This window comes from Homo sapiens, chromosome 17 (assembly GCF_000001405.40).
Source record: "Homo sapiens chromosome 17, GRCh38.p14 Primary Assembly".
NCBI lineage: Eukaryota > Metazoa > Chordata > Mammalia > Primates > Hominidae > Homo > Homo sapiens.
In genome coordinates this window covers 9,594,716-9,610,279 of record NC_000017.11, presented here as the reverse complement: position 1 = coordinate 9,610,279, position 15,564 = coordinate 9,594,716, and the positions used below count along the sequence as shown (strand labels likewise).

General features: G+C 41.5%; 1 protein-coding gene across 8 annotated transcripts in view; it reads right to left on the bottom strand.

The window, feature by feature from the left end:
- The window catches only part of CFAP52 (cilia and flagella associated protein 52), a 68,913-nt gene that overhangs the window by 35,275 nt on the left and 18,074 nt on the right, over positions 1 to 15,564 (bottom strand). For 7 of the 8 annotated variants that reach the window (XM_047435437.1, XM_047435439.1, XM_047435438.1 and 4 more), the window contains 3 exons: positions 11,947 to 12,046; positions 10,097 to 10,213; positions 2,061 to 2,161 (listed from right to left, as the gene is read on the bottom strand). In XM_047435437.1, coding sequence (XP_047291393.1) covers positions 2,061 to 2,161; positions 10,097 to 10,213; positions 11,947 to 12,046 — 318 coding nt within the window. Of the gene's footprint in view, positions 1 to 2,060; positions 2,162 to 10,096; positions 10,214 to 11,946; positions 12,047 to 15,564 lie in introns of those variants that run through there. The other variant, XM_047435441.1, reaches the window with a different exon arrangement.

Genomic DNA, 15,564 nt, shown 5'->3' with positions numbered 1-15,564 from the left:
GGGGTAAAAAATTAGAAGGTTAATTTACTATATTCACTTCATACATCCAGAGATAACCCAACATAGTTTGTTTTTTACTTGATTTTATTTCTTGCATCTTGTATTATCGACAATACTTGGATGTTATTTCTTTCCTCTCCTGATTGTTGCTATTTTAAGGTTAAGTTTCTCATCATTCCTCTCCCCCACCTCACCTGTATTAGGATTCAGGTTCGGTTGTAAATTAAGAGAGGAGCTTCTCTCTCTCTCTGTCTCTCTCTGTCTCTGTCTCTCTCTCTCTCTCTCTCTCCAGAAATCAGATTCCAGGTTTTATAAGTGTCTATTCCATGAGGTTGTCCAGGCACCAGGCTCCTGATGAATGCTGCTCCCAGCATTCTCTGGGGCTGTGGCTTTCAAACTTGAGCATGTATAATAACCTGGAAGGCTTCCAATATTGTTCTAAAGACTCCTCCCTCCCTCATTTCCCTTCATACAAGCATGAAACTGGTCTAAAACATTCTCAATAAGCCCAATCTTGACCACTGAATTTAAAATGGCAATGTATACACTGCTTTTTTATTTAAAAAAAAAATTGAGACGAGGTCTCGTTCTGTCACCCAGGCTGAGTTCAGTGCCATGATCATGGCTCACTCCAGCCTCAACCTTGAGGTTGACTGATCAACCTCAATCAATCCTCCCGCTTCAGCCTCCTGAGTAGCTGGGACTACAGGTATGTGCCACCACATCTGGCTAATTTTTGTATTTTTTTGTAGAGATGAGGCTTCACTGTGTTGCCCAGGCTGGGCTGGAACTCCTGGGCTCAAGCGATCCACTTGCCTCGACCTCCCAAAGAGCTGGGATTGCAGGCGTGAGCCACTGCACCTGGCCTCCCTGCTTCTATTCAAACCATAATCCCCTTACTCTGCATCCTACTTCATTTTTCTCCATTGTACTTATCACCCTCTAATACTATGTACTTTCCTTGTTTATTTTGTTTCTTATTTATTGCCTTTTCCTTCCTGCTAGAATGTAAGCTCCATGAGGACAGGGATTTTTTTTTTCATCTTTTATGTTTTATTCACTGAGATATCCTAAGCACCTAGAATGATGCCTGGTACCCCGTGAATGTTCAACACAGATTTCTTGGAATGAAGACAGCTGGTGCTCATTTCTACAACATGTGTGCAACTACCCCTGGCTTCCTGGGGGTAGCAGAGGCCATAAAGCACATGTGTGGGGTATCTGGTTTTTGTTTAAGCCCATCCCTCTGTGAACTGTCCTCCCTGATCTTTCCATCCCGAGAAGGTCATCCTCTTCTCTGATCTCTACAACATTCATAATATATTTTACTTTATCTGGACCATGTGCTAATATCCTATCTTGTCTGGTAGTGACTTCTTTCGTGTGTACATACCTTAGCCCCAAACGAGTCTGTAAGTTCTGGGAGGACAAAGACCATAGCTTATTTTTCTTTATTTTATTAATAGTATCTAATACATTGGTTTGGTTGGAGGAGGTGCTGAATAAGCACATTGTTATGGCAATAAATAAGGTTTTGTTTCATTTTATTTTAATTAAATGAGCCAAGAAACATACATAGCAGAGTATCTGGCATATAGAAATGGCTGGTGAATGCTGGCTATTTCTATTATAAATTGTATTCAAATGCATGATTAACACAATGCTTTGCACATAATAGGTACCCATTGCATAATAAATTTCATTGAGTTAACCAATTTTGAACATTTAACATTGGGGGTTATTTCTTGGATAAGTTTATAACATCCCGTTCCTTTCATCATGGCTCAATGTGTTAGCTAAATACAAACTTATGTATTTATTAAATGGGCAGTGTCCCTCTGGGTAATAGTGGACTACTTTGGTTTGATTCAACATAAGCTTTTGTCTTTTCGTTGACAAAGAAGCCACCATCTATTGTGATTCCAACTACTCATTCTAACAGCAAGATGAAATTTTTTAACCAAATATCACTTTGCCGATATCATCGAGTTGCTGGCTTTAAGCAAATCTCCGTTTAGTGGGTCTCTACCCAGCCCCACTGTGTGAGACCCGGAACTTACTTGATGGGTTTGTAGCCAGGGCTTTTACAGAAGACCAGCAGTCCGGCTCCAGAGCCCACCAACAAACCCCCCATCTTCAGGCACCTGATAGCTGACACTCCCTAGGGGGAAAAACTGTGTTAAGAAAAAGCACAAAAATCTCACAAATCACCACTAAAGAATGTACTCATGTAACCAAATACCACCTGTTCCCCAAAAACATATGGCAATAAAAAAAATTTTAAATATTAATGAAAAAAAGAAAAAAGCTGAATGAAAGATGAATTAAAGATGGCCAAAGTCATGCCAGTGCTGCACACATTGCCTGGAGGATGTTCATGAAGGTTCTGCTCGCGATGCACCCCCAGGCTGACCAAGGGGATTCAGTGCCAACAACAAGCTCACTTGCCAGGAAGTAACCCTCCTGGGCCTACAGGATGCAAACAGGCTTCACCATCCTTCCTCCCTAAAACCACTGGTGCATTTTGAATATTTTAAAAATTAACACTTTTACATCCACTCAAATGCAGCCAAGAGAAGGTATAAGCATAACCTCAGCAATGCTAGTCTCTCAGCTGCCACTGTTTTCACCAGAACTTAATTCTTACAAATGCAAAGGGACCATATTTAATATCCCAAGAAAGCACAATAGACTTCTTATTGTTTGGCGACTGTATTATCTGAACTACAACATGTACTACATAAGAGTGGGAAACATATTTAAAATTTAAAGTGCTCTTCAAAGGTTGGGGTGCCCCCCACCATTCTCTCCAAAGAAAAAAAAGGCTTGACAATGTATGATGGTTGTTTTATAGTATCCACTGTGAAGTTCTAATTTTAAAATGTGCGTGAGCAATATTTTATTTTATTTATTTGTTATTACTATTGTTTTTTTGAGGCAGAGTCTCTCTCTGTCACTCAGACTGGAGTGCAGTGGCATGATCTCAACTCACTGCACTCTCTGCCTCCCAAGTTCAAGCGATTCTTGTGACTCACCCACCAGAGTAGCTGGGATTATAGGCATGCGCCATCATGCCTGGTTAATTTTTGTATTTTCAGTAGAGATGGGGTTTCGCCATGTTGGCCAGGCTGGTCTCGAACTCCTCACCTGAAGTGATCCTCCTGCCTCAGCCTCCCAAAGTGATGGGATTACAGGTGTGAGCCACCACACTCAGCCACAACATTTGATTTTAAAACATTCAGTATAGCTAGTGACTGTATAGGTTTGTGTCTTAATGAATTTTGAATATGATAAAACAAATATCCTGCCCTTTCAAGTTACTTTACACTGAATTTAGCCTGTTGTGGCTCAAAAGACATTTTGTGATTGAGAAGAGAAACCAAGGCTCAAGAATGTGAAGGCAAGGACCAGAATTACATGCTCCCCAGCTTCCACCCCTCACCCCTAACTTCCTAAGTGCCTCAGCAGGACAACAGGATGAAGGCTCAGCCTATGAGGAGACAAAACATGGAGTGAATTTTTTAGCATTTATCTGGGGACTTGGGGATGCAAGTGGTAAAGAGTTCAACAGCGCCTCGAAGCTACATATGTGTGATTTCTAAATAAACTTTTTAAAACTATAGATGACGTCATTCAAGTGCACAGGTTCTGCAGCCAGTCGGCCTGGGTTGAAATCTCAGCTCTATTACTTGCAAGCCAGGAGATTTCCAATGTTAAGAGCCTCAGTTTTCTCATCTGTAAAGCAGGGATGAAAATGGTACCTATCTCATTAGGCGTTTATGAAGATCGAATGAGATCATTTAAGGAAGGGGTTTTGCACCATGTCTGACACATCAGCATTTATTGACAGATACCATTTTTGTATTTGCATGTTCGTGTGTGTGTGTGTGTGTGTATTTTGGAGACAGGGTCTCTGCCACCCAGGCTGGAGTGCAGTGGCACAATCACAGCTCACTGTAACCACGAACTCCCGGGATGAAGCAATTCTCCTGCCTCAGCCTCCCCAGTAGCCAGGACTATAGATGCATGCCACCACGCCGGCTAATTTTTAAAAACTTTTCACAGAAATAGGGTATTTCTATGCTGCCCAGGCTGGCCTCAAACTCCAGCCTCAAGTGATCCTCCTGCCTTGGCCTCCCAAAGCGCTAAGATTACAGGCATGATCCACCTTGCCTGGACTATTTTTGTTTTTACTAGGCTATTTTTTTTAGAGCAGTTTTAGGTTTGCAGCAAAATTAAACAGAAGATACAAGTATTTGAGATTTCCCCAATACTTCTTTCCCCCACAGTTAAAGAGCCTCTCCCATTATCAATATCTTCCAGCAGAGTAGATGTATGACAGCTAATAAACCTATGTGGACACATCATTATCACCCAAAATCCATTGTGTACATTAGGGTTCCCTCTTGGCATTGCATACTCTCTGGGTTTGGACAAATTAATAGCAACATATATTTACCATTATAGTGCCATACAGAATAGTTTCACTGCCCAAAACATCCTCTGTGCTTTACCCATTCACTCCTCCCTCCCTGCTAACCCATGGCAAGCACTGATTTTTTTTTTTTTTTTTTTTTTTTTTTTTCAGATGGAGTCTCACTCTGTCGCCAGGCTGAAGTGCAGGGGCGCGATCTCGGCTCAATGCAACCTCCACCTCCTGAGTTGAAGCAATTCTCCTGCCTCAGCCTCCCGAGTAGCTGGAACTACAGGCATGTACCACCACACCCAGCTAATTTTTGTATTTTTAGTAGAGATGGCCAGGATGGTCTTGATCTCTTGACCTCATGATCTGCTCGTCTCAGCTCCCCACAAAGTGCTGGGATTAGTGGTGTCAGCCACCGCGCCCAGCCTGATCTTTTTATTGTCTCCATAATTTTGCCTTTTCCAGAATGTCATATAGTTAGAATCAAATGGTGTGCAGTCTTTCAGACTGGCATCTTCCACTCAGTAATGTGCATCTCAGTTTCCTTCTTTTCCTATAAAGTCTTTTCCTGACTTTATAGCTCATTTCTTTTTAGTACTGATTAATATGCCATTGTTTGGATGTATCACAGTTTACGTATCCCTTTACTTACTGAAGGACATCTTGGTTGCTTCCAAGTTTTGGCAATTATGGATAAAGCTTCTGTAAACATCTGTGTGCAGGTTCTCGTGTGAACATAAGTTTTCAGCTCCTTTGGGTAAATAGCAAGGAGTGCAACTGCTGCATTACATGGTAAGAGTAAGTTTAATTTTGCAAGAAACCACCAAACTATCTTCCAAAGTGGCCGTACTATTTTGCATTCCCATCAGCAATGAACAATAGTACTCACTGCTCTCCATCTCTGTCAATATTAGGTGTTGTTAGTGTTCTGGATTTTGGCCATTTGAAAAGGTATGTAGTCGTGCCTCATTGCTGTTTTAATTACATTTCCCGGCTGATATAAGACATAGAGTATCTTTCCATATGCTTACTTGCCATCTGTATATCTTCTTTTATTTATTTATTTATTTATTTATTTATTTATTTATTTATTTATTTATTTATTTTGAGACAGAGTCTTGCTGTGTCCCCCAGGCTGAAGTGCAATGGCGTGATCTCACTGCCGGGTTCAAGTGATTCTCCTGCCTCAGCCTCCCTAGTAGCTGGGATTACAGGCTCACACCACCACACTTGGCTAACTTTTGTATTTTTAGTAGAGACGGGGTTTCACCATGTTGGCCCCGCTGGTCTTAAACTCCTGACCTCAGGTGATCGGCCCGCCTCAGCCTCCCAAAGTGCTGGGATTACAGGCACAAGCCACTGCGCCCGGCTGCCATCTGTATATCTTCTTTAGGGGAGGTGGCAGTTAAGGTCTTTGGCCCATTTCTTATTGTTGAGTTTTAAAAGTTCTCTGTATATTTTGGGTAACAGTCCTTATTCAGGTATGTCTTTTGCCAATATTTCCTCTCACTCTGTATCTTTATTTTTCATTCTCTTGACAGTGTCTTTCATGGAGCAGAATTTTTGATTTTAAGGAAGTCCAGCTTTTCAATTCTTTCTTTCATGGGTATTATAGCTAAAAGTTATCACCACATCTTAGGTCTTCTGGATTTTATCTTTCAGGAGTTCTATTGTTTTGTGTTTTAGGTCTGTAATCCATTTTGAGTTAATTTTTGTGAAAGGTATAAGGTCTGTGTCTAGGCTTTTTTATTTTTATTTTTTGGTTTTCCAGGTGTTTAGCATTATTTATTAAAAAGACGATCTTTTTTTCCATTGTATTTCCTTTGCTCTTTCACCAATGATCAGTTGACTATGTGAATTCATGTTTGGGCTCTCTATTCTGTCCCATTGATCCATTTATCTATTCTTTCACCAACCCTACACTGTCTTGATTACTGTAGTTTTATGGTAAGTCTTGAAATCTGGTAGTGTCACTCCTCCAACTGTGTTCTTCTTCAATATTGTGCTTTCTTTTTTTAAAAATTATACTTCAAGTTCTGGGATACATGTGCAGAACATGCGGGTTTGTTACATAGGTGTACATGTGCCATAGTGGTTTGCTGCACCCATCAACCCGTCATCTACATCATCTATATTACCCGTCATCTACATTAGGTATCAATATTGTGCTTTCTAGTCGGAGTCTTTTGCCCCTCTGTGTAAACTGTAGAATCAGTTTGTCTACAGACACAAAATAACTTGCTGGGATGTTTATTGGGATTGCAGTAAATCTATAGTTCAAATTAAGAAGAACTCATATCGTGACAATACTGAGTCTTCCTATCCATGAACATGAAATATCTACTTAGGGCCGGGTGTGGTGGCTCACGCCTGTAATCCCAGCACTTTGGGAGGCCGAGGCGGGTGGATCACGGGGTCAGGAGATCGAGACCATCCTGGCTAACACGGTGAAACCCCGTCTCTACTAAAAATACAAAAAAGTTAGCTGGGCATGGTGGTAGGCGCCTGTAGTCCCAGCTACTCTGGAGACTGAGTCAGGAGAATGGCGTAAACTCTGGAGGCAGAGCTTGCAGTGAGCCGAGATAGTGCCACTGCACTCCAGCCTGGGCGACAGAGCGAGACTCTGTATCAAAAAATAATAACAATAATAAAAAAGAATTTCAGCATCCACAGGTGACTTAAGTGCCAAAGGTTTGAGAAACCTAAGATAGCCAGCATCTTTGCTGGACAGATATTTCGTTCCCAAGTGCTAGGAAAACAAAACAAAACAAAACAAAAAATCCACTAGTTTTCAGGTAGTGTTACATGGAGCTCTTTGGAGGCATCTCAGGAGTTGGCACTGGCAGGGCTCTAAGACTTGCTCTCCTTAACCTGATGTGCTTTGTTTTTATTTGTTTAATATATTAGAATTCCTATCCTATATGAACACACACTTCTCAAAAGAAGATATTTATGCGGCCAACAAACATATGAGAAAAAGCTCATTATTACTGGTCATTAGAGAAATGTAAATCAAAACTGCAATGCGATACCATCTCACGTTAGTTAGAATGGCGATCATTAAAAAGTCAGGAAACAACAGATGCTGGGGAGGATGTGGAGAAATAGGAACACTTTTACACTGTTGGTGGGAGTGTAAATTAGTTCAGCCATTGTGGAAGACAGTGTGGTGATTCCTCAAGGATCTAGAACCAGAAATACCATTTGACCCAGCAATCCCATTACTGCGTATATACTCAAAGGATTATAAATCATTCTACATGCACATGTATGTTTATTGTGGCACTATTCACAATAGCAAAGACTTGGAACCAACCCAAATGTCCATCAATGATAGACTGGATAGAAAGAAAATGTGGCACATATACACCATGGAATACTATGCAGCCATAAAAAAGAATGAGTTCATGTCCTTTGCAGGGACATGGATGAAGCTGGAAACCATCATTCTCAGCAAACTAAAACAGGAACAGAAAACCAAACACCGCATGTTCTCATTCATAAGTGAGAGTTGAACAATGAGGACACATGGACACAGGGAGGGGAACATCACACACCGGGGCCTGTCAGGGGTGGGGGCTAGAAAAGGGATAGCATTAAGAGAAATACTTAATGTAGACGACGGGTTAATGGGTGCAGCAAACCACCATGGCACGTGTATACCTATGTAACAAACCTGCACGGTCTGCACATGTATCCCACATGTATGAAGTATAATAATAAAAAAAGAATTCCTATCCTAAAAAGAATTAGAAAAACCACACTTGAAAAGCTACACTTCAATCTCTTGTAGCATTATTTCTAAACTCTTCTCTACTTATACTATAGTTTTTCCCTCTTTTTATGCATCTCCTTGAATGCTTGAATATTAAATGATTATGTGACTAAGAAAACTGTGACATTTTCCCAGGAACACAGTGCAGTATTTCAAAGTTTCTTGAGAATATCTGCTATGTGGAAAAGTATCTAAGCTTAGTTAGAACCATCTGTTCTGTTATCAGAAACGAGATAGGCAGGTGCAGAACATAGTACAAGCTTTCAAATTCAAAGTTTAGTAGAAACAGCCCTGATAAGTTACTGGGGTGCTGGAAATAGCAGCATTTGTTATATAAAATTATCCTTTGATGGTAGCTTTTTATTTTGGTATAAATATCAAAGTCTCTAACTGTCCTTTTAACTAGAATTGCTAGGAAGTCTGTAAATATAAACAGTTGACTATTTCTAGGTCTTGCTCACGACTTATAATGTCAGCTGAGGCTAAAATCTAAGATCTAGTTAGTAAAGTAGACAAAAATTATATATATAGTTTTATAGATCAAAGAGCACACTTCTCTTATGTATGGCAATGGGGCTGGAACCAACGCAGTTTAAAATCACAAAGCAATAGGCCCTATGCTTTGAAGAGGTGAACATAAATGTGGTACTTTTTTTAAAATTTTATTATTATTATACTTTAAGTTTTAGGGTACATGTGCACAACGTGCAGGTTTGTTACATATGTATACATGTGCCATGTTGGTGTGCTGCACCCATTAACTCGTCATTTACATTAGGTATATCTCCTAATGCTATCCCTCCCCCCTCCCCCCACCCCACAACAGTCCCTGGTGTGTGATGTTCCCTTTCCCGGGTCCATGTGTTCTCATTGTTCAATTCCCACCTATGAGTAAGAAAATGTGGTGTTTGGTTTTTTGTTCTTGGAATAGCTTGCTGAGAATGATGGTATCCAGCTTCATCCATGTCCCTACAAAGGACATGAACTCATCCTTTTTTATGGCTGCATAGTATTCCATGGTGTATATGTGCCACATTTTCTTAATCCAGTCTATCATTGTTGGACATTTGGGTTGGTTCCAAGTCTTTGCTATTGTGAATAGTGCCGCCAATGACTTTCTTCACAGAACTGGAAATGTGGTTCTGATTCCCTAATTCAGGACACCTAGAAATGTCTTTACCCAGAATAAAAACCAGAGACGAGGGCATAGAGAACTGGCCAATGTACCTTGCAAATTGAGATGTGGCTTTGGGTCCATCACTGACTTTTTATGTTTTCCCACAAACTCTTTCTTCATTAAGAAAGTGTGTGCTCAGTGAAACCCCGTCTCTATTAAAAAATACAAAAAAATTAGCTGGGCGTGGTGGCGGGCGCCTGTAGTCCCAGCTACTTGGGAGGCTGAGGCAGGAGAATGGCGTGAACCCAGGAGGCGGAGCTTGCTGTGAACCGACATCTCGCCACTGCACGCCAGCCTGGGCGACAGAGCGAGACTCTTTCTCAAAAACAAACAAACAAACAAACAAACAAAGTGTGTGCTTTGTCCGGGCATGGTGGCTCACACCTGTAATCCCAGCACTTTGAGAGGCCAAGGTGGGCAGATCACTTGAGGTCAGGAGTTCAAGATTAGCCTAGCCAACATGATGAAACCCTGTCTGTACTAAAAAATACAAAAATTAGTCGGGTGTGGTGGGGCACACCTGTAGTCCCAGCTACTTGAGAGGCTGAGGTGGGACAATCGCTTGAACCTGGGAGGCAGAAGTTGCAGTGAGCCAAGATCACGTCACTGTACTCCAGGTTGAGTGACAGAACAAGACTGCATCTCAAAAAGGAAAAAAAAAAGTACATGCTGCCAGTGAAGGGAGAAAAATGGCAGGGCAGTGGCGATGGTCTCTACTCACCAAACTGAATTTGTCCTTCGCAGGCCCAACATCTGTCAGCAGTTTAGTCCTGGGGTTCATTTTTAGAATATCTCCAGTCGTGGTGCCAAGGTAGAAAAAGCTATCATCATCATCCACCTGAAGAAGCAAGAAAAAGAAATCTTGGCCAGCCTCGGTGGCTCACGCCTGTAATATCAGCACTTTGGGAGGCCGAGGCGGGTGGATCACCTGAGGTCAGGAGTTCAAGACCAGACTGACCAACATGGAGAAACCCTGTCTCTACTGAAAATACAAAATTAGCTGGGTGTCGTGGTGCATGCCTATAATCCCAGCTACTCGGGAGGCTGAGGTAGGAGAATCGCTTGAACTCAGGAGGCAGAGGTTGCAGTGAGTCAAGATTGTGCCATTGCACTCCAGCCTGGGCAACAAGAGCAAAACTCTGTCTCAGGAAAAAAAAAAAGAAGAAGAAAACTTGAAGACCTGGATGCCCTGAATGATGCCCATGAACACCTGTTCAGGAATGGGATGAGGTTCCTCTGGCACCCCATGAAGACTTACAAAGATGCTCAGGGCTGCTTCTATTTCCCCAGGCTCAAAGATGGGTCAGAACAGCTCTGAGGGGAGCAGGGTAAGGGCTACACATAGAATGGGAGGAAATATTCGACCCCAATTAGCCTGTGCCTTTCACTTGAAGTCTATCTGGTTCTGATGTTAATAGGCATCCTCTGCCAGTTCAGAATTTTGAGACATCTCTTAAGGGCTCCTAGGATAAAGGTGTGCCCCTCCAAAAAGGATGTACATTTGCTTTATCTCATATTTTCCAAAGCTTATATCCATAAAATGACTATGCATTAAACAAGAGGAATCAGTCCATGGAGAATGAAGTTATACAGGTTGAGTATAATCCAAAAATCTAAAAATCTAAAATCTGAAATGCTCCAAAATCGGAAATTGTTGAGTGCTGATGTGACACTCCAAGGAAATGCTCATTAGCACATCTCAAATTTTGAATTTTCAGATTAGAGATGCTGAACTTGGAAGTATAATGCAAATACTCCAAAATCTGAAGAAAATCCAAAATTCAAAACACTTCTGGCTATATGCATGTCAGATAAGGAATATGCAACCTGAATATATAAACCCACATTTAAAATATATTAATAATTTCTCTTTATGGAAGAGATTGCATTTCAACAATGGATTTCATGGTCAGAAACTTTATTTTCAGTGGCAGAAATAGCATCAGTGGCATAGGAATGTGCTGTGGGCTCTGAGTGCCACGGGCTGCATTGCTTTCATCCAGGTGAGGCAGGCTTTCGGTGTTTGATGACAGCCTAGATTCCAGCAAAACAAGGTTTACCTGTGCTGTGTCTAGGTGACTCTTCCCTGACTCCTAAAGGGAGTGGCAGAGGTGCAGAGGTGAACTTTTTCTTCTTTTTTTTTTGAAACAGAGTGTCACTCTGTTGTCCAGGCTGGAGTGCAGTGGCATGATGCCAGCTCACCGCAACTTCCGCCTCCCAGGTTCAAGCAATTCTCCTGCCTCAACCTCCCAAGTAGCTGGGATTACAGGCACCTACCACCACACCTGGCTACTTGTGTATTTTTAGTAGAGACAAGGTTTCACCATGTTGGCCAGGCTGGTCTCGAACTCATGACCTCAAGTGATTCACCCACCTCCGCCTCCCAAAATGCTGGGATTACAGGCGTGAGCCACTGCACCTGGCCAAAGTGAGCTTCTTCAATCAACATCCCCTATGTCTATACCCCACTTTCCTATCCCCAGCCCCATGTACACACACACAAACACCTTGGTCAGCACTGCTAACAGGAACGTGTGCTAATTGTTACTTAATACTTAAATTAATACTTACTCCAATACTCATGACTATTCTTTTCAACTGTCCTGTTTGGCACTCAGTTGGCCAGATTTTTCTATTTGGAAGATCCAATTCCCATACTCGAATTGTCCCACTATGTAAAAAAAAAAAACAAAAAACCACAATCAAATGGACACCCATTTAATAATCACTTCATCCCTGAAACTGAAGGGAAGAGATCTAAACATTTTTGAGGCTTCGTTATGGCCTAGTGCACTATGAAAGATCTTTTATTCGATCCTCATAACACCACCACGAGGCAGGTTTTATGATCCCCCCTCCCAAATTAGAAAGTGCGGAGCTTGAACACAGCAGAGCAGGGATTCACACCTGGCTCCGTCTCACTCTGAAGTGCACACTACCCACTCTACTGAAAACAAACACACAAGTAAGCAGGGAACATGGGCAGAGCAAATCAGAGCTTATTAAATGTCTTCCTCTTTTTCTTTTCTTTCTTTCTTTCTTTCTCTCTCTCTTTCTCTCTCTCTTTCTCTCTTTCTCTCTCTCTCTCTCTCTCTCTCTCTTTCTGACAGAGTCCCACTCTATTGCCAGGCTGGAGTGCAGTGGCGCAATCTCTGCTCACTGCAACCTCCACCTCCCAGGTTCAAGCCATTCTCCTGCCTCAGCCTACTAAGTAGCTGGGACTACAGGTGCCCGCCACCACGCCCAGCTAATTTCTGTATTTTTAGTAGAGACGGGGTTTCACCATGTTGGCCAGGATGGTCTCCATCTCTTGACCTCGTGATCCATCCGCTTCAGCCTCCCAAAGTGCTGGGATTACAGGCATAAGCTACAACGCCTGGCCTTCTTTTCTTTCTAATTGACAAGTAAAAATAATATATATTTATGGTGTACATCATGATGTTTATATACATATACACATTGTAGAATAGCAAAATCAAGCTATTGAACATATGCATTATCTCATATACTTACCATTTTTTTGGCGGTGAGAATACTTAAAATTGTGTTAGCAATTTTCAAGTATACAATATATTACGAACTATACTCACCATGATGTACATAACCTGTGTGCATCAAAAGATGGATGGACTTTTAAAATGTGGTATATGTACGCAATGGGAAGAAATTCTGTCATTTGTGACAACATGGACAAACCTGATGGACATTATGTTAAGTGAAATAAGGCAAGCACAGAAAAACAAACACTGCATGACTTTACGCAGCTGTGGAGTGTAAAAAAGCCTAACGCATGAGACAGTAGAATGGTGGTTATCAGAGACTGGGGGTGGGAGAGTAGGGAGATGTTGGTCAAAGGACATCAAATTTCAGTTCAACAGGAGGAGGAGGGCCAGGCGCAGTGGCTCACACCAGTAATCCCAGCACTTTGGGAGGCAAAGGTGGGTGGATCACCTGAGGTCAGGAGTTCGAGACCAGCCTGGCCAACATGGTGAAAACCCCGTCTCTATTAAAAATATAAAAAATTAGCCAGGCGTGGTGGTGGGCACCTGTAATCCCAGCTAGTCGGGAGGCTGAGGCAGGAGAATCGCTTGTACCTGGGAGGTGGAGGTTGCAGTGAGCCGAGATCGTGCCACTGCACTACAGCCTTGGCAACAAGAGCAAAACTCCATCTCAAAAAAAAAACACACACACACACACAACAACCATGAGGAGGAGTAAGTTTAAATGTGTTTTTTTCAAGGTATTGAGTTGCAAGGAAAATTTTAAAGGGAAGACCTGTGGTGTGGAGTCTTGTCTTCAAGGAAAGAGAAATGAGACCAAGCAACTAAAAGCTAAACCAAATTAGCATCTAACACAGGACTTGATACATGGTCGGTATTTACTCATTATATGTTGAATTAATCTGAATTAATAATTGTATAAAAATTTCAAGGCCAACATCACAAAGACTTCAGCTAATATTTTAAGGCAGAAAAGATTAATCTAAAAATATATCAAGTTTTGGGCCAGGCATGGTGGCTGATGCCTATAAATCCTAGCCCTTTGGGAGGCCGAGGCAGGTGGATTGCCTGAGCTCAGGAGTTCAAGATCAGCCTGGACAACACAGTGAAATCCCATCTCTACTAAAATACAAAAAAATTAGCCGGGCGTGGCAGCATGCACCTGTAATCCCAGCTACTTGGGAGGCTGAGGCAGGAGAATCATTTGAACCCGGGAGGCAGAGGTTGCAGTGAGCTGAGATTGCGCCATTGCACTCCAGCCTGGGCAACAGTGTGAGAGTCTGTCTCTCTCTATATGTGTACATATATATATATATATATATATATATATATATATATATATATACACACACATATATATCTACATACATATACATATGTAACTATATAAACATATATATAACTATGTATGTATATATATAGTTTTTCTTTTGTTTTTTTAGCTCCCAGAGTTATATATATAGTAAGTACTCAGACATATTTTAAACGTACTGAACTTTTTTTTTTTAAACAAAGAGCTTTTTCATGGTCTTCCTGGTAGATGTTATTTGGATTCTGAAATACTTAAACTTGCAGGACATCTCATGGGGACAATATAGTGGAATACATGGCACTGGGACCAAGTTAGAGAACCCAGCATACATAGGTGCCATGTCAAAAATTTTACTTACGAATGATCACTTTCTCAGTTCTCAGTGTCACATGAAATCAAACCAGACATAGAATGCAGATTGTCCTAAAAAAACTTTTTTTTTAATATAAAATTCAAGTATTGAGTCCTGAAGAAATGTTGCTCATGGACTTCAGAATGGACCAATGCCTGCTGCTTAAGGGGCTGTGAAGGAGCAGAAAGAACCCTATAAAACCCTGGCTTAGTCAAATCACTCTGCAAATCTGAAAAAAGTTGAAGAGTGTCGCCACAGCCCGTGGTCAGTTGCTTTAGGTTGCTTGGTAGGGCTGGTTTTCGTGCCGGTCAATTAGCTTCATGGCCTCTGAATGAATCGTTCCTCATAATTAGCCATGGAGCAAATGTAAGTTGCATATCATAAAGCGGGGACAGGAAACAATATAGATGTAGAGCTGCACAAATTCTCTTCTCTAGCTGGAAAAGTAACCAACCATGTGTACCTTTCCAAGATGGGTTGAAAAAAATAGTTCTACTGAACACATACTTCAACTCTGTATTTTCTGATTTCTTGCCCTCTGAACTGGTATATAACATTAAAAAAGGATTTCTAAAATTCATATTTAACCTTCCCTTCAAACTCCAAACAGGCACCTGAGGTCAGGAGTTGGAGACCAACCCGGCCAATGTGGTGAAACCCTGTCTCTATTAAAAATACAAAAATTAGCCGGGTGTGTTGGCGGGCACCTGTAATCCCAGGTACTTGGGAGGCTGAGGCAGGAGAATTGCTTGAACCCGGGAGGTGGAGGTTGCAGTGAGCTGAGATCATGCCACCGCACTACAGCCTGGGTGACACAGCAAAACACTGTCAAAAAAAAAAAAAAAAACCCTCCCTAATTTGCTAATTTAAACAAGGTTCTAATTAGTGAATCTGTAAATTAATTTATTCCCTCCCTTAGGCAGATACTGGCCTCTGTTCAAACTTTCAGCTAGGTCACCATTAGCTGGTTAAAGCTGATCCTGCCCGTAATTATTTTACATGGCTAACAGTCTAACCATTTGAAA